This window comes from Homo sapiens, chromosome 12 (genome assembly GCF_000001405.40).
Source record: "Homo sapiens chromosome 12, GRCh38.p14 Primary Assembly".
Classification (NCBI taxonomy): Eukaryota; Metazoa; Chordata; class Mammalia; order Primates; family Hominidae; genus Homo; species Homo sapiens.
In genome coordinates, this window is record NC_000012.12 from 25,018,991 (window position 1) to 25,037,895 (window position 18,905).

Here is an 18,905-nt window from a genome sequence, read left to right on the forward strand (position 1 = left end):
GGTTCCCTTGACTGCCTCGTGGGACTTGCAACCGGGATGGCTTGTTGGCTCAGCTGCCATGCTCAAACCCCTTGCAGGAGGGGGAGCATGCAGGTGAGCAGGTGTAGGAGCTGGGGTGAGTGCCTTTAGGTGCCAGGAGGAACAAACCCCATACCAGCCTGTGGCAGCATCTAGGGGTTGCCCACAACCTCTGGAGCCCCAGAGGGCATGTGTTACAAGCAATACTCTTTTAGCATTTGCCATCTATGGACAGCTAAGAGTTAAACTAGCTCAGTGGAGGATCAGGGTGACAGCCTTTTACACCCTACCCTCTTGGTACCCAGGTTCTTGTCCAACATCCAGGAAGAATCAGGTCACACAAACTTGAAGGATGGTGAATGTGGAGATTGTATCGAGTGGTGGAAGTGGCTCTCAGCAGGATGGGGAGCTGGAAAGGGGATGGTGTGGAAAGATAATCTTCCCCTGGAGTTTAGCTGTCCCAGCCAAACTCCTCTCTGACAGTCCCTGGCCAAACTTCTCTCTGACCTTAGTCTCTGATGTCCAGCTGCCTCTTCTCCTCTTGATGTTCAGAGCTTCTTCTCTTCTCTCCTTCTCTTCCACACTGCTCTGCTCCTCTGCCAGTGGAGCTTGGAGTTTTTGTGGGTACAGGATAGGGGGCATGGTGGGTCAAAAGGCAGCATTCAGGTGGGAAATCAGGGATGCGAAGTTCTCATTTAAGGCCATGGGTCCAGGTTTGAGGGTGGAACCCTTGCCAGGAACCCTGCCCTTTTCTACCTAGTGTTTCCCTGCCTCCTGTTTATATCACTGTGACCTCCTTGATGGGAGGAACTATGTCATATTCATCCTGTTTAGCCTAGTGCTTAGTAGAATACCTACTGTAGAACAGCACTACTTTCCTTCTAGTTACCTAAAAGCCAGAAACCCTTATTTCTTTTGATTCTTATCATACTGTATTGTCAGTATGATTGTCTGTTTACCCCACTAGGCTATAAACTCCAGATGAGTAGAATTCTCCGGATTCAGTCATTCTTCCCTTCTTCAATGCCTAGCACAGTGCCTGGGACAGGTTCAGCACTCAATTAGTATTTGTTAAATGATCAATGTAATTTCTTAGGAAAAAAATTGTATCTCCTTTGAAGGCTTTGTTCCTAAGGGAACAGTCTATAATCTAACGGGAGCTACAGGTAGGTAACTTCATGATATGGATTACCATAATTCATTTAATCAGTTTCCTGTTGGTGGATGTTTAGGTTTTTTTTCCAATGCTTTGTTATAATCAACAGTATGATAAACTTCTTTATAGAATATGTCATATAGAGACTTGGTAATTATTTATTTGTTTAGTTGTCATCTCCCTCCATAGTATGTAAGCTCTATAAGGCCAAGGACCATGTCCCTTTTGTTCACCATTGTAGCCTGCATTGTAGAGCACCTAGAACATGGTATTATTCAATTAATATTTGTGGAACTGCATTAACTAACATTACATCTTCTTAGTAGGGGGAAAGAACCAGGTAATTCAGCCAGTGATGATTTTCAAAGGGATCCTCTAAATCTTTAGCTTCAGGAATACATTTGTCTGTTTTCCCCATAGTCTCCATTCCCCACTCCCCATTTTCTCCAAATTCCTTCCTTTTCCAAGGACTGAAAGATCATGGGTATATTTTTACTATGCGGGCATCTGGTTTAAGCCTTTAGTGGTTTTCAACTTGGGTCCAAAATAGTCCTTGGCTGTTCTTAGTGTCTTTGACGGTTATATTTGAGGTTTTGCTCATGGCCTTCTCCCCCCACCCCCACAGTGCCCACCAGGCTATTATGAGAACAAATCTGTTAAAAGAAGAACTGGAGGAACTGAAACTTAGTATGAATGCTTCAGAAGAGCAGAAGAGCATGATTGTAGCCCAGAGCAAACAATTAGTAAGTCATCTATTATAGTACTTTGAATTTGGCGTATAATTTACATAACTGAAATATACAAGAGGACTTATCCGGTGGAACATCAGAAGTCAATATCCTGATGAATGAATTGGTAACACTTTAGAAAAGTAAAGGCAGGTAGGATTTTTTTAAATCTGTGTTTTCCTTTTCTTTCTTTCTTTTCTTTTTTTTTTTTTCTTTTTTTCTTTTTTTTTGAGACAGGATCTTGCTTTGTTGCCCAGGCTGGAGTGCAGTGGCAGGATCGTGGCTCACTCCAGCCTCGACCTCCCAGGCTCAAGCGATCCTCTCACTTCAGCTTCCCAAAGTGTTGGGATTATAGGCATGAGCCACTGTGCTTGGCCTCCTTTTCAATCAAGATTTAAATTTTTTACATATTTCTCAGTCACATTCACAATAGTTTCTGAAAACCCAGAAAATATCTGGAATGCCTCCTAAAGTCGATAGGAGAATTCAAAAATATCTGATACTAAAAACCACTTGAATTAAAAAAAATCTGTGAAACTTTCACCTTTTTTCTCAGATTTAAAAAAAAACAGTTATCTCAGTACTTGCAGGTTACTGAGAAGCTCCATAAATCATTCCTTATGCTAAATAAGCACAGGCTTATAATTTCAGAGCAAAAGAGTCATTTAGACTAAACTTTAAGTCAGATGCCAGAGAAGTGATCATTTTTATTGAGAAGGTTCAACTGTTGTATAAAGAATTAGTAATAGTCTTCAAAATCCTGATAGATGCCAGCAGTACTCTAGTATCATTAACTATGGTAAGGAGTGGCTGAAAGTCATTCCGACTAATTTGTTTCAGGTATCAGTTGCAAAACTGTTTTTAGAGTCTCTAAATCTTGGAGAGACTTGGTTCCAGCCCTGTGGCAGTCCCTTATGACCTCCCACAAACAAAATAACTTTGTTTAGCTTAGCTCTTGCCTCAGTAGTAAAATATGGGGACTAGATCATTGAATGCCAGGTCTTTTGTGACCCTGCAAGTCTATATGGATGCATTATAGGAAAGACTCAATCTGGGACCACTAAGGAGCTTCTAACTGAAGGCAATGGAGAGAACTGGTCAAGAGCCCACGCTTGGGAGTCAGACTGCCTTCCTTCAAGCTCCGGCTCCAAGGGCTGTGTGACTTTAGCCCTGCCACATAGTCACTCTAAGCCCGTGGGTCCTCCTAGATAAAATGGAGATAACAATACTACTTACCCTAGGGCTGGGAGGGATAAATGAGCTAGCGCATGTAAAGCATTCAATGTCCTTTCTTTCCTGTTAGGAATTGGTAATGTTAAATTGCTATTGATTAAAGTGCAGAATTTTGGCCTGCACTTTGGGAGGCTGAGGCGGGTGGGTCACTTGAGGTCAGGAGTTCAAGACAAGCTTGGCCAACATGGTGAAACCCCATCTCAACTAAAAATATAGAAATTAGCCAGGCGTGGTGACACACACTTGTAATCCCAGCTACTTGGGAGGCTGAGGTGGGAGGATTGCTTGAACCTAGGAGGTGGAGGCTGCAGTGAGCCAAGATTGCACCACTGCATTCCAGCCTGGGTGTCTGAGACTTGGTCTCAAAAAATAAATAAATAAATAAAAATAAAGTTCAGAGTCCTAGATACGGAATCCTAATCATTTGCATTTTGTAGTGTTTTATAATTTTAAAAGATTTAGTTGATACTTCATCTCATAGGTAATAACAGAAAATCTGTAAGGTAGAAACAGAAGTTGCTATATTTTTGTGTACTAAAAAATGTAATAGAGCAATAAAGTCCAGAGGAAGTTTTTAATTGTTCAAAGTCAATTGTCTAATAAATGATAGAGCTAAATTAACCATTCTATGGTATATATGTACTTTAGAACATCATGTTATACATGGTAAAAGCACATGATGTTATTTATCTGTCAATTTTTTAAAAAATGGTAGGGCCACCGGGCGTGGTGGCTCACGCCTGTAATCCCAGTACTTTGGGAGGCTGAGGTGGGCAGATCACCTGGGGTCAGGAGTTCGAGGCCAGCCTGGCCAACATGGTGAAACCCTGTCTCTACTAAAAATACAAAAAGTAGCCAGGTGTGGTGGCAAGTGCCTGTAAGTCTGGCTACTCGGGAGGCTGAGGCAGGAGAATCACTTGAACCCGGGAGGTGGAGGTTGCAGTGAACCGAGATCGCACTATTGTACCCCAGCCTGGGCAACAAGAGCGAGACTTCGTCTCAAAAAAAAAAAAAAAAAAAGAAAAAGTAGGGCCAGAATTGAACTCAGGTATTCAGATTTTAAGTACATGGATGGGGAGCAGGTGTTTATTATTGTGTCAATGAAATCCTAGCTTGAGATATTTTTTCTTTCATTTTTATATTATAAAGGTAATACCTATTTACTTTATAAAAATAAAGAAATGCATATTAACAAATAAAAAGTTTTGCAAAATTCTTAACCTACCCTTGAAATTTACTGTTAACATTTTGGCAAATAGCCTGTCCTGAAATATATTGATTTTTTTTTTCTGATGGTTCTGAATTTGAGGCTGTTAATTGTAAAACAGTTTTTGATGCTCATATGTTGTGATGATGTTGCATCTGAGAATATCCACAGCTTCAAATAGAACTCTAGAGCTCTGTGATTTCAAGGTGCTATTTAAATAGCTGAGTTTACAACTACCTGTCATAAATGAAGTAGCAGGGAAAGAAGCCAGGTTGTTACTTTTTTGTTTCTTTTGTCTTTTCCTCCCTAACAACCATAGTTACATTGAGTCCAGGAGGAGAATGACTTCACTTAGATCCCCAAGTACCTGTAGGCCAAGGCTTAACCCCACATTGAAAATATTTTCAGAGTAGGCTCATTTGTGATAGGTGAATGCTACATTCAAAGTTGGTAGAGAATGTCAGCCTTGGAGGTAAATATGTGGTATTTTCATAAACATCTTAAATATATTTTAATTATTTTTCTCACAATGAATTAGGAGACAGAAAACCGGGCTCTGATTCTTAAGATTCGGATTCTACAGGAAGAGGTATGTCAGAATCGTTAAACACTGGCATAGACAAACATGCAAATCATATCATCGTGGTTTATGGCTGTGGGTTAAATAAAAATCATGTAAATATAGCCTCCTATAGGCCAGAGAGCAGGTTGACTTGTCAAATTACAAGTGAGGAGGAATGGATGGGATTTTCATGTCTGAACAGAGAAACTGTTACTTTTGCAATTATCCTTGGAAGAAATGGGATTTAAGAAATTCAAATTTAAGATGAAATACAATGAACCCATCTAAAAAATATCCAAATCAAGAAGGAAAGTATGGATGTTATCTAATCATTTTCCATTTAATTCCATTGAACAAAGTGGCAAGAGTCTTGAGTCTACGATTCAGATCTTAAATTCACTGAAAAAAGGACCTTGGAAAAACCATTTATCTTTTCTGGGCTAATAGTACCTATGCCATGGAGTTATTTTCGAGATTAACTAAGATAATTCACGTGAAGCCATTTGGTAAACCACAATGTAGCTTATAAATGTTAGGAAATATTAGTATAATCTCAAAGAAAAAGAATATAATTTTTTTAAAGCAACAAAATTGAAGCATTGGAAGAACAGGGAACAAGCTACTAGCAAGTTACTATTTTGCTGGGAAAATTCCTTTTATAATAGACACCATTTGAATATCAAGTAGTATGCCAGTTTTTAAATTTTGCTTTTATGTGAGGCTATCAGAAGTATTTATGAAGCTATGCAGCACAATCTGGAGAGTTATTCAAAATGTGGGCCAAGTGGGTATTTTAAAATTTCATAGTGGATTGGAAAGGAACAATTAAAGTTTGGAAAGAAAGCCTATATTAGATTCAGAGCTGGTATAGCCACAAGGCCAGGCTTTTGTGAAACTAGTGATTTACAATTAAACTACTAATGTAAGATATTTTTCTCCTCTTATTTAGATGAGTGACACGTATCAAAGAATTGTACCAAACCAGTTCAGAATTGAGATAGAAGGAAGATTGAAAGCCCTTCATCATGAAATAGCATTGCAATTATTGACTTACATTAGAAAACGAATATAAGTGTTGTCACTAGCTAAGATTCCTTTGGGAGGTAAAAATCTGATGCATTGTGAAGAGTAACATCACAATGGTTTGGGTAGTGATTCACTTTTATTCATTCATTCATTTTGTTCATTCAACACGTATTCATTGGAAGATCTTAGAGCTATTCTAAGTGCTGACTATATGAGCTTAGCAAAATAGCTCATGTGGAACTAGTATGTTAGACGGTAAAAAGAGCTATAGAGAAAAGAAAAGCAGAAAACAGAACTGAGGCAGAGAGGAGTGCAATTTAAACTAGGGTGGTTAGGAAAAGCAGCCTTATGAAGCTAATCCTTTGATTCAAAACTGGGAAAGGAGGTTTATCTGTGAAAGAGCCTTCCAGGCAGAAGAAATAGCTGAAAATCGTGAGGCTGCAGCCTGCCTGCTATTTTGGAGGGACAGCAAGGCCAGAGTGTCTGGAGCAAAGTGAACAAGTAGCAAGAGATGCAGGCCAAGAGCTGGAGGGTCCAGACACAAGGGGCTTACACACGCATCCTAAGGACTCTGTCTTTTTTTAAAACAAAACAAAACAAAACAAAAAAAACACTTGAGTGAGATGGGAGCCATTGAAGTGTTTTGAGCAAAGGAGTAATATGATCTAATTCCGTTTTAACAAGACAACTCTGGCTGCTGGGTTTAGAATCCATTGTAGCGGGGCAAGAGAAAAAGCAGGAAGACCAATTAAGAGGTCTTTGCAATGATCCAGTCAAAAGCTGATGGGGGCTTGGACTGAGTAGTTGCAGTGGAGGTGGACAGAAGTGTTTGGATCAGGAAATGCTTTGTAATATATCCAAAGATATTTGTTATGTTTTCAGGTAAGAAGGAAATTTTCTTCTGGTTGTTTCTAGTGTCTCAGTGAAATACAAAGCAAAGTCATCAGCTGAGAGTGAGGATGTTGGAGGGGTTATTGGAAATTTGAGGAAAGAGAAGGAATGAAATGAGCTAGGGGTTCGAAAATTTTTTGTAAAGGGCCTGATTGTAAATATTTTTAGGCTTTGCTAGCCACAAAAATGACCTTTGTGTCAACTACTTACCTCTGCCTTTGTATTGTGAAAGCAGTCATAGACAGTATGTACCTGAATGGGCACAGCTGTGCTCTAATAAAACCTTATTTACAAAAACAGGTGGTCAGCTAGATTTGGTCTTTAGGGGTGGAGTGAGGGGGCTGGGCATAGTTTGCCACCCCCTGATTTAGGTAAAAGGCAGTATAAATATACCAGGATGATATGATATGATCACCAGTAAACACTGAGGTTAAAGGCCATGAATTAAACCTGTGACCTATCTGTTCATGCTTTCTTTAAGCATGTTCATCTGAAAGGGTGCTGGTGTGGAGTGGGTGGTAAGCTAATCTAGGTAAATGCTAAGAAGCAGGAGTTAGGCAGGGAATGGAGGCATTTGGAAGGGAATGATTATAATGATTGCCCAGGGAAGAACTGAAGCTAAATAAAGAGGGGTCTGAGTTCATGGGAAGGTTGAAGGATAATGAAAAGGTGGTCGGATCAATGGATTGCGGGTTCCAGGGGGGATTGAAGGTTTGTGGGTATAGAGGAAGTAATCTGGAAAGCCAAGAGGTGGTTGTTGAACGGTGGGATGCTTGCAGTTAAGGTAATGGAGGGGCTGCAGTGACTGGTAATAACAAGTTTGAATTTATGACTATGGGAGTAGTGGCTGAGGTTGAATGGAAGATAAAAAGGCAATACTGAGAGTGATGAAATACCACCTCCTAAAAGAGACTTTGTTTGTCCTCATCTTTTATTTTTCTTGGTGCTAAATCCAAGAATACTATCTTTTACATTAGAATTTCAAGAACATCATGGATATAGACAGACTGGAAAAGAAGATTGAAGACTTGTCTAAAACTGAGACAGAGCACCAAGTAAGCACTTCCCAAATACTGGTAAAATATTTTTTTTCTGTCAAACCAGTATTATTTTATGAAAATGTCTATGCCTCATTGACAAACTAAACTTTGGTTATAAATTCTGAAACTTTTAGTCTACAAAATATTTGAGTTATATAAAAGCTAGTTTCCTTTTCCTTCTTTTTTTTTTTTGGCAACTGCTTTACTGATATGTAATTCACATGCCTTAAATTTCATCAACTTAAAGTATACAAGTCAGTGTGTTTTAGTACGTTCACAGAGTTGTACAACCATCTCCAAAATCAAGTTTAAAACATTCTCATCACCCTGAAAGAAATCCCTTTTACCATCCCCCACCCACCGTCCTCTCCCCAACCCTAAGCAGCCACTAATCTATTGTCTGTCTCTATAGATTTGTCTATTCTGGACATTTCATATAAATTAAATCATATAATATGTTGCCTTTTGTGTGTGGCTGATTTCACTTAGCATAATGTTTTTAAGGTTCATCCATGATATAGCATGTATTACTACCTCTTTTTTTTTCTTTTTTTTTTTTTTGAGACAGAATCTCGCTCTTTTGCCCAGGCTGGAGTGCAGTGGTGCAATCTTGGCTCACTGCAAGCTCTGCCTTCCGTGTTCACGCCATTCTCCTGCCTCAGCCTCCCGAGTAGCTGGGCCTACAGGCACCCGCCACCACACCCAGCTAATTTTTTGTATTTTTAGTAGAGACCGGGTTTCACCATGTTAGCCAGGATGGTCTCAATCTCCTGACCTTGTGATCTGCCCACCTCGGCCTCCCAAAGTGCTGGGATCACGGGCATGAGCCACTGCACCCGGCTGTACTACACCTCTTTTTATGGCTGGATAATATTCTATATGGATATATCAAATTTTGTTTGTTCACTCATCAGGTGATGGGTGTTCAGGCTGTTTTCACTTTCTGGCTATTATGAATCGTCTGCTATGAACATTTGTATACAAATTTCTATGTGTACATATGTCTTGATTTCTCTTGGGTATATACCTAGGAGTGAAATTACTGGGTCACTTGATGTTTCTATGTTTGTTTGTTTATTTATTTATTTATTGAAACAGAGTTTTGCTCTTGTTGCCCAGGCTGGAGTGCAGTGGTATGATTTTGGCTCACTGCAACCTCTGCCTCCAGGTTCAAGGGATCCTCCTGCCTCAGCCTCCTGAGTAGCTGGGATTACAGGCGTGCGCCACCATGCTTAGCTAATTTTTGTATTTGTGGTAAAGATGGGATTTCACCATGTTGGCCAGGCTGTTCTCAAACTCCTGACCTCAAGTGATCTGCCCGCCTCAGCCTCCCAAAGTGTTGGGATTACAGGGGTGAACCACCACGCCTGGCCTTGTTTCTACGTTTAACCTTTTAAGGAACTGCCAGGCTGTGTTCAAAGTGGCTGCACCATTTTACATTCCACCAGCAGTGCATGAGGGCTCAAATTTCTCTACATTCTTGCCCAGATTTGTTATCTTTTTATATTATATGGCAATTTTTAATTTAATTGTGTCTGATTTTATTTATTTCTAAATCAGGAAATATTTCAGATATTGTACCTTCTTTAAATTTTATTTTTATTTTTTTGTAGTTTACCAACCTCAACCTGAGATAATGTACCTTCTTAATGCTAAAAATGAGGAGAGATGGGAAAAATTTATCCCTAATTATATTAAGAAATTATACCTTACAAAAATATTTTTTGTCTAGATAGTGTCTAAAAAGTCTATATTTCATACATATTTTTGTTATCTGTCACACATTCTCATCAGGAAACAGATGACAACGACTAGTAAATTCATGAATTTGTGTCATGCTTATTGTCATCTCTAATGGCTTATTTGAGAAATATTTTGTTGTTGTATGTGTCTGAAATGATGATATACTTAAATTTCTACATTCTGATGTAGAGTTTTCCAGTTTCCTAGCAGAAACTAACATTTCATGTGTGTGTTTACATATATATGTAAAACAACAGTTATAATTTAAACATCAATTTTTTAAAAATTAACTAACAAATAATCAGTTAATTTGTGAATTTAAAGATGGGATCTCACTCTGTTACCTGCGCAGTAGTGCAGTGGCATTATCATAGTTCACTGCAGCCTTGAACTCCTGGGTTCAAGTGATCTTCCCATCACAAACCTGCACGTTGTGCACATGTACCCATCTCAAACTCCAAGTAGCTGGGAGTACAGAGGCACACCACCATGCCCAGTTAATTTATTTTTAAATTTTTTGTATAGATGAAGTCTTGCTATGTTGCCCAAGCTGATCTTGAACTCCTTCCCTCAAGTGATCCTCCTACTTTGGCCTCCTAAAGCATGGGATTACAGCTGTAAGCCACCATGCCCAGCCTTCTTAGACATTAAAATTAATTCTACACTAGGAGTGGCTGTCTTTGCAAAACACAACTGTGATAAACCAGTGGAAAGAGCCAGAAGACACGGGTTCAGATCCTGTCTTTTCTACTGAAAAATTTTATAACCTCAGGCAAGCTCTAAGTCTAAATTTTCACATCTACTAAATGGATGTGATGTTTGTACCTATCCCACAAGCTTGCTATAAATTCAGATGATGATGTGATTATATCCAGTGTATAAGATTATGGTGATGATTCTGCTTCTGACCATGATGATTATTTTTCCAGGTTCTCAATTCAGTCAATATACATATTTATTCATTCTATAATATGCAGCAGCATATGCCAACAAGCTTGCTTTTGATTTGAATAAATTGATATATCCTTTATGTTCACTTAGCTAAAAGAAATCTTAAGCATTGTTACAATATGTTTTTTTTTTTTATTTAAATTTTAGTTTTAGAGATGAGAGTCTTGCGCTGTCACCTGGGCTGAAGTGCAATGGTGTGATCGTAGCTCACTGCACCTTCGAACTCTGGGGCTCAAACCATCCTCCAGCCTCAGCCTCCCGAGTGCCTGAGACTACAGGCATGTGCCGCCATGCCAGGCTAAACTATGTTTTTAAAAGGGGAAGAGTCTTCTATGTGTCCTCATGGAATCTCTATGTTCATATTGTATCTAGACTTTTTATTTTCACCAAAAAAGTGAAGATTCTGAACATTCCCTTATTATGTTAAGTGTGGAATGGTGGGAAGGGCACTTGGCTGGAGCTGTAGACTTGCATTCCAGGCTCAGCTCTGCCATTGACAGTGTGCGACATTGGGTGGGTGAGTCTCTGGGTAGTGTGGAGTTTGGTTTCCTCACTGGTAACATGAGAGCAATGATGCCTGCCTCTAGAGTTGGAAGGGAAAGTACTTTGTAAAGTGAAAAGTACATGCATGTTAAAGGTGCTTCAGAAACATCTTACTGGAATGATTTTATGGCACTGTCCTTTTACCAAAGCAATGTCCCAACGGCCTTCCCTAAATTCGTCTCTTTTCAGATGCAGTTACACACATATGAGAACACTTTGCTTAATAAAGATACAAGTTTGCAGAAGGTTGGTATTGTTCCTTACCACAAAGTCCCATGGAATTGGCTAGCTCTCTCCAAATCTGATTCTTTTTTTTTTGACGGAGTCTTGCTCTGTTGCCCAGGCTGGAGTGCAATGGCATGATCTCAGCTCACTGCAACCTCCACCTCCCAGATTCAAGCAATTCTCCTGCCTCAGCCTCCTGAGTAGCTGGGATTACAGGTGTTTTGCCACCAAGCCAGCTAATTTTTGTATTTTTAGTAGAGACGGGGTTTCCTCATGTTGGCCAGACTGGTCTTGAACTCCTAACCTCAGGTGATCCACCTGCCTCAGCCTCCTGAAGTGCTGGGATTACAGGCGTGAGCCACCGCACCCAGCCTAAAAAATCTGATTCTAATATGATGTCATGAGACTTTCCTTTATAGCACTTTATAAAAATAAGTTTGAACATATCTTCTCTAAATTCTGGTGGTGTTCATCCACACGTGACAAATATTAGTGTGCCAATCTACCAGTCACTGGCTAGATACTGGTGATGTCGTTTTAATTTCTAACAACATAAATGAGTCTGCAGCCATTCATTTTAGGGTGGAAGAAGAATATATACCCAAATTATTTGAAACCCAATTTGATTGATTGATTAGATAGATACATAGATAGATATCATTCTATTCTTGTATCCTGTGATTGTAGCCAAGGATACCGGCTACAAAGGTGCTGGTTACGGTAACTTTAAGAGACACAGGAAGGAACACAGCCTCAGTCAATAATCTTCCACAGTCCAAAACAGAGAAGTGAAGAAAGAATGATATTTGCCACTCCTCTTTTCCATGCACATTTTGAAGTTTCAAAAGAAACATGCATAGCTGTGGACTTTGACTGGGATACTGCGTATTGTCCTAACTTGATGTCTTCATTGCGGGTGTTCTCTATGTAATGATATTGCGATAGTAGTGGCTACTCAGTTCCTCCCTAACTCTGGTCTTCTCACCGTTCTGCACTCCTGCTCAGGGTTCATCAGGTATTGATTGATCATCTCCCATGTGCCAGCCACCACGCTAGCCACAGGATAAAATTAGAGATCAGGTACTCACTACCTGTACCTTTTGGTCTTGTAGAAGAAAACAATGATTTTAAGGAGGTATCATTAGTACTGAAAAAAATCAGATGCCTTTATTTCATTGGTCACTTGCAAGACTGATTTTTTTCTTTAACACATCATGATGATAAATATAATTTTGTTTTGGGCTTAAGAATCACCTTTTAGAGTTTGATTCCACTGGGTCAGACAAACACAGATTATATTGACACCAGTTACATATTGCTCCCTTTTTGTCCGTGTGTGTGTGTGTGTTTGTTTTTGTTTTGTTTTTTTGTTTTGTTTCACTCTTGTTGCCCAGGCGGGAGTGCAATGGCGTGATCTTGGCTCACCACAACCTCCACCTCCTGGATTCAAGTGATTCTCCTGCCTCAGCCTCCTGAGTAGCTGGGATTACAGGCATGCGCCACCACACCCGGCTAATTTTGCGTTTTTAGTAGAGACAGGGTTTCCCCATGTTGGTCAGGCTGGTCTGGACCTCCCGACCTCAGGTGATCCGCCCTCCTCGGCCTCCCAAAGTGTTGGGATTACAGTCGTGAGCCACCACGCCCAGCCGTCCTTGTGTGTTTTTAATCGCAAAACACCGACTGGTTCAGTTTTCAAATAGTGAGACTGGTAGAATCGCATGACGATTGGGCATTTACAATTTTTCTGTGGCTCACATTAATAGTCTAATATATATGATTTGGTGGACCCATTACTTTTTTGCTATTATTTCTCTCTTCTACTTTTCAGAAAGGCTTATATATAGAAGAACTTAAATCAACCATCATAGAATATGGAAGCATTATAGAGGTATACCTGTTATTATTAATCTCACACCTTGCAAGGTGGGCTTGTTAAATGTAAATTCCCCACTAGAGTAACATGTACAGCCTAATGTTGTGTGCGATTCCAGAATTTACGAGGGGAAAAAAGTAAACTGGCTCATGAGTTACAGCACTTGCAACAGGCACTCATCACGTAAGTAGAGGGCAACCCTTGCCAGCCTCCTCTCTTGTTCCTCTACCCTACATTATTGGCCCAATTGAGCTTTGTATGTGCCACATTCTTTTCTTCTATACGTTTGTATGTGATATTTTCTCTATTTTTCTCCATGAGAACTTCTTTGTGAGTTTTCTATGACCCCTGATTGTCTTAGACAGCTCAGGATGCTATGACAAAATACCATAGACTGTGTGGCTTCAATAATACTCATTTATTTCTTACAGTTTTGGAGGCTGGAACTCCAAGATCAGGATGCCAGCAGGGTTGAGTTCTAGTGAGGGCCCTGTACTAAGTTGCAGATTGCCGACTTATCCTTGTACAAGCATGGAGGAAAAGCAGTTAGCTAACTCTTTGGCTTCTTCTTATAAGGACACTAATCCCATTCATGAGGGCTCCAACCTCATAACTTAATTACCTTCCAAGTGTTCCATTTCCAAATACCATCGCATTGGGGTTAGGAATTCAATATATGAAATAATGGGGGGCAAACAAACATTCAGTCCATTGTGTTGACTTTCCCTTGCTTGCTTTTCCCTTACCCTGGAACTAAGTAACTCTTTCTTTCTTTTTTTTTTTTTTTGGAGGTGGAGTCTTGCTCTGTCACCCAGGCTGGAGTGCAGTGGCGTGATCTCGGCCCGCTGCAACCTCCACCTCCTGAGTTCAAGCAATTCTTCTGTCTCAGTCCCCCAGTAAGCTGGGACTACAGGCATATGCCACCATGCCTGGCTAATTTTTGTATTTTTAGTAGAGATGGGGTTTCACCATGTTGGCCAGGCTGGTCTCGAACTCCTGACTTCATGATCTGCCTGCCTCGGCCTCTCAAAGTGCTGGGATTACAGGTGTGAGCCACCCAGCCTGGCCTAAGTAATTGTTTTGAATGTAAGCATGGCACCTTGTTCTCACCTCTTTCCTAACACACATCATCCTGTATGATAATTATTTGTTTCTGAATGTGAGTAATATGCTAGTCCAGGATCCACAGGAGCCACTCAGATAACAAAAATGAGTAAAGCTAATGGAATATGCACGCATCTACATTATGCAAATGGAAAAGGAGATAAGTGCATTACCGATATAAAGGCAAAGGGGTTACTCTGTTTAGCTCCAACTAATTGTGACATCAAAACGGTATGGACCTAATCTGGCCACATCTTCTGATTTTGGAAGAAAAGCCAGAAATCCAGATTTTTAAGTGACATTTTCTGATTTTTAACTGTTGGTACCAATTCTTTTAAAAACTGTGGCCTGGTGTATGACCTCCTAGACTCACCAGTCTGTGCAGCTCCTGGAGGACAGAGACAATTTCTGATCACTCTCCCTATTCCCAAGCACATTATACAATCCTTGGCACATGGCACTGATTGTTTCGTGATAAATGGACCCTATATTCTGTTGACTTCAAACGTAATGTTGGAGGCACACCTAACTAGACTATTGTTTTTGTTTTTCTCAAGAAATGGGATCCAGTTGAATGTTAATGGAGAGTGTAACAGTATCATCTCTGAAGGAGAAAAGTCTTTACATTACGAACTCACTCTTGCTCAGTCTGCAGAGGTAGGTCATTATAAGAAGATGGAAAGCTTTGAAAGATAACTACCCCATGTGATAGCTTATGATTTAATGAAGGTTCACAGCTTGCCAAAAACTACCAGTGACACTGAGAGAATGTGCTGATAGTTCTTAGAGTCCAAGTCTAAAGTTTCTTAGCTTGGGGAGAAAGGACCATTTTCAAGTTACGGCCGAAAGCTACAGCAAGGTTGAAGGTTTGTGGAAGTGTGCATTCAGGGACTTTGGGACTTTAGAAATCTTTGTTTTCTTGACAGGACAGACTACCTGCCCTGATTCCCCAGCCTGGGATCCCAAAGGTAGCAGTAGATATCCATGAGTTATTTTTTAGAATTTTCCAAACCCTGAAAGTAAATATATTTATCAAAAAATAAAGATGCCCAGAAACAATACCAAATTTATTTGCTTTAGATTATAATTGTATCAGCCCAAATTAATGACATTGATTATTACATTCTGAACAGAAACTAGCATTTTCTTACATGTGTTTTGGTTAATTTTAAAGTGGCAAAATGAATTTATTAGTTTAAACAATTTCCATTTGTTTGGTAGACCCAGTACTTTATAACATGGGAAGAAATATTTTAAAAACCTTCTCGGGGATAAAGATGTTCTGACTCCCTTATGCTATATTTTCATTCCTTTGTATTCTCCAGTTTTGTGCTTGTTATGCTCAGAAATGCTTTATTTAGAAAAATGCTTTCTTTTCACCATTTGATGGTCTCTTCCTATCTGTGGACGATAGATATGTCAGAATGTTCTCCTGTTGACAGCTGTGATGCCACCTTGAAAGGAGAGAAAGAATGCCTTTGGGCAAACGCTATTTGAATTGCTTCTGCCAAGGATGCAGGGACAACATATGCTGCCTTCATCTGAAGCCATCTCCGGCAGCCCTGGACATTCTGCTGAGGGCTGTGCTTTCCTGACATTCTGTTTCAAATACTCATCATTTCACTGTGTTTTTGAAACCAAGCCAAACTGCCAGACTGAATGAAACTGTGGCAAATCTGCCACAGCAGTGTGTTTTTATCCTCAGTCCTCTGAGATAATAATGATGTCAAGATGCCAGCCCAGAAAGTTCTATAGTTCTAAACAGGAAGGTTATCAGCCGGCAAAGTTCTGGCTCTGAGGTTTACCCACTGATGAGTTGGGAAGTTTGTCTTCTAACTAGAATCTCAAAGTAAGAGTCCTGTAACCTTTTCAACAGGCAGCAAAAAGAAGACTTGGGTCATATATTTAAAATATGACAGGAGGCAGAGATTTTGAGAGAAGTATAGGGAATGTACTTTGTGAAACATCATATGGTCTTTTATGAATGGAAGGGAGACAAAAGAAGCCAACCTGTTTTCAGTGGGATTGATGGAGCAGCCCTTCTCCATCAATTTTTTCCCCCTGGGTATTTCTTTACCTATTTTTATGTTAAAATTAGAGCCATAACCGTTTATATCATCAGCATGTAAATGTCATCTATTGATAATGAGTTTTCCTTAAGACAGAATAAATGTTCAATTGGAGCCATCCCAGAGAGAAAATATCAACAGCTTTTTTAGGATGTAGGAGAATTTCACAAGACTATTGAGAACCAAATGACAAGGACAATGACATTAACTCATGAGCATCATTTTTGTTAAGTGAAAGTAATGAATGTTCTTTATTCAGATGTCAATTGTGGGCATTTCGATCCTTGTTTCAGAACACTGAAACAGAAAGGCAGCACAATGTAATCAACTTGTCATCTCTGGACGCCATGATGGATCAGGAAATGCTGCTATTACTAAGAGAGCCCGCACAGAAGGCAGTGGAATTCACAGCCACGCTTCAGAAGCTGGTATCGTATAACATACCTTTATCATGGTGTTCCGTTTTGGCTGGCAATATCTGCAGATAACTGACCTGCAACCTGTTTGCTGAGTCCAAATGTATCTGTGTGCTGCTGAGACCCAAATTAATACACTCTGAAAAGCGAAGGTTTTTCTCAAACCTTTCTGAAGCTGGCCTTTTAGTTCTGGGTCAATCAGGGCTAACAGATTGACCATTAGATACGGATTGCTTGAGGTTATTTTTTCCTGTGAGCTAATCTTTAGTATCAAAGGGCTGAAGACATGGTATCTATTGAACAGTTTCCTTCTTTAAATTTTCTTCTGGTTAATGGCTGGTATTCCTTTCTCCATTTTGACTTTTCACTGGAAACTCTGGATGATTGGAGAAATCAGAGAACAATATTTTCATACTGGTATTGCCAGTCCCTTTCATAGTGCCTAGCATATAGTAGGTAGCATTTAGTTTGGTACATTTTGGTACATTTTACATTTTGTACATTTTGGTACATTTTAGAACGGTAAAAATAAGTGAAAATGGTTGTTTTCTTCTATTTAAAAAGATGGGGTTTGTTCTGGAAAATGATTCTCTCTGTATATATTCAACATGTATAGAGCACCTGATGATATAGCATATACACATGGCAACATCCTGGAATAAAAGAAAGTCACTGGGGGCATTAGATGCAAAGGAACGTATTCTGGTATTTTCCTGAGTTACCTATATAGTAGAATTTTGGTCTCAATGGATTCTGATTATATAATAGCATATGTCTTCCTAGTTGAAGATGTGGAACTCTTTTTTCAGCACGAAGAAATTTCTAAAATTGCAACCCTCATTGAAAACTCTCGACGGTGGGTAACTAATCCAGAAATTACTGTGAAAGAAAAGTGGGAGGAGCAGCTTACTGTAAGTGTTTTATATTTTATGATTTTCCTGGTTTTTCTTCTACTTTGTTAAGCCAGGTAATAGTATATACAGTACCATTTCTAAGACTTTATTGTAGTCTTCTGCTATCTTAGTCTGATCATGAGTATAGACTGTGTGTCCAGGGGTGTATATGAGTGTGAGGGTGAGGAAAGTATGTGAGAGAGAGTGAGTGTGCAGATATGTGAGATGTGATGGAGAGAAAATAATAAATAAGATGATTTAATGAAAAAAATGCATTTATCTCCTTGTAAGAATTGGCTAGTCTAAATTAAGATTTTTCCTTAGCCTATTAAAATTGCCTAACTTTGAAAGAATGATTACTGTGTAACAGAATCTTATTCCTGAGACTTTGACGGTTTTACTATCTCAGGAACTTGCAGAACATTGGAAAAACAGGAACTTCTTAGGTAGCTATTCCCAGCTTTATTAGAAAGGAAGCATATGAGAAGGTATCTCTTTCATCTGTCCCTCACCTATTTACCTCTACTTCTTGACTGCCAGCCACTTTCTAGCATCCATCAGCCCCTTAAGTTAAGCTAAAGAAAAAAGTAAACTCTGGAATATGATTTCAACTCCTTTGCCAATCTAATTTTTTTTTGTTTTTGTTTTTTAAAAAGGAATCTCACTGTTGCCCAAGCTGGAGGGCAGTGGCGTGATCTTAGCTCACTGCAAACTCTGCCTCCTGGGTCCAAGTGATTCTCCTGCCTCAGACTCCCAAGTAGCTGGGATTACATGCATGCACTACCACGCCCGGCTAATTTTTGTATTTTTAGTAGAGACAGGGTTTCACCATTTTGGCCAGGCTGATCTCAAACTCCTGACTTCAGGTGATCCACCCACCTCAGCCCCCCAAAGTGCTGGGATTACAGTCAATCTAATTTTTTTAAGATTACATGTGAATATGATAATCTGTAAATACTGATATTATTGCATTATCTTGTCCCATCCTGTTCTAAAGCAATTGTGATGACTACTGAAGTTGTCAGGGGAAACTTAAGAAAAAGAAAGCAAAGCTCAGTTTTAGGGACATAATAGGCACTTTATACATACTTGTTACATTGACATAACCAATAGGATAGTCAATCTCTGGGCAATTGGAAATTGGTATTAATTAACATACAATTGAGAATTGGTACTCATTGACATACAGTTTTGGCATCCAGTATGCCATTGAGATGGAATGTCCAC

General features: G+C 39.5%; 1 protein-coding gene across 1 annotated transcript in view; it reads left to right on the top strand.

Annotated features, from left to right (window-relative positions):
* IRAG2 (inositol 1,4,5-triphosphate receptor associated 2) overlaps positions 1-18,905 on the top strand; it is a 110,761-nt gene that overhangs the window by 21,416 nt on the left and 70,440 nt on the right. Inside the window, exons 8-16 of the mRNA NM_001394803.1 lie at positions 1,800-1,917; positions 4,881-4,931; positions 7,799-7,876; positions 11,288-11,344; positions 13,152-13,211; positions 13,315-13,379; positions 14,858-14,957; positions 16,663-16,797; positions 17,595-17,696. Of these exons, the coding sequence (NP_001381732.1) occupies positions 1,800-1,917; positions 4,881-4,931; positions 7,799-7,876; positions 11,288-11,344; positions 13,152-13,211; positions 13,315-13,379; positions 14,858-14,957; positions 16,663-16,797; positions 17,595-17,696 (766 nt within the window). The remainder of the gene's footprint in view (positions 1-1,799; positions 1,918-4,880; positions 4,932-7,798; positions 7,877-11,287; positions 11,345-13,151; positions 13,212-13,314; positions 13,380-14,857; positions 14,958-16,662; positions 16,798-17,594; positions 17,697-18,905) is intronic.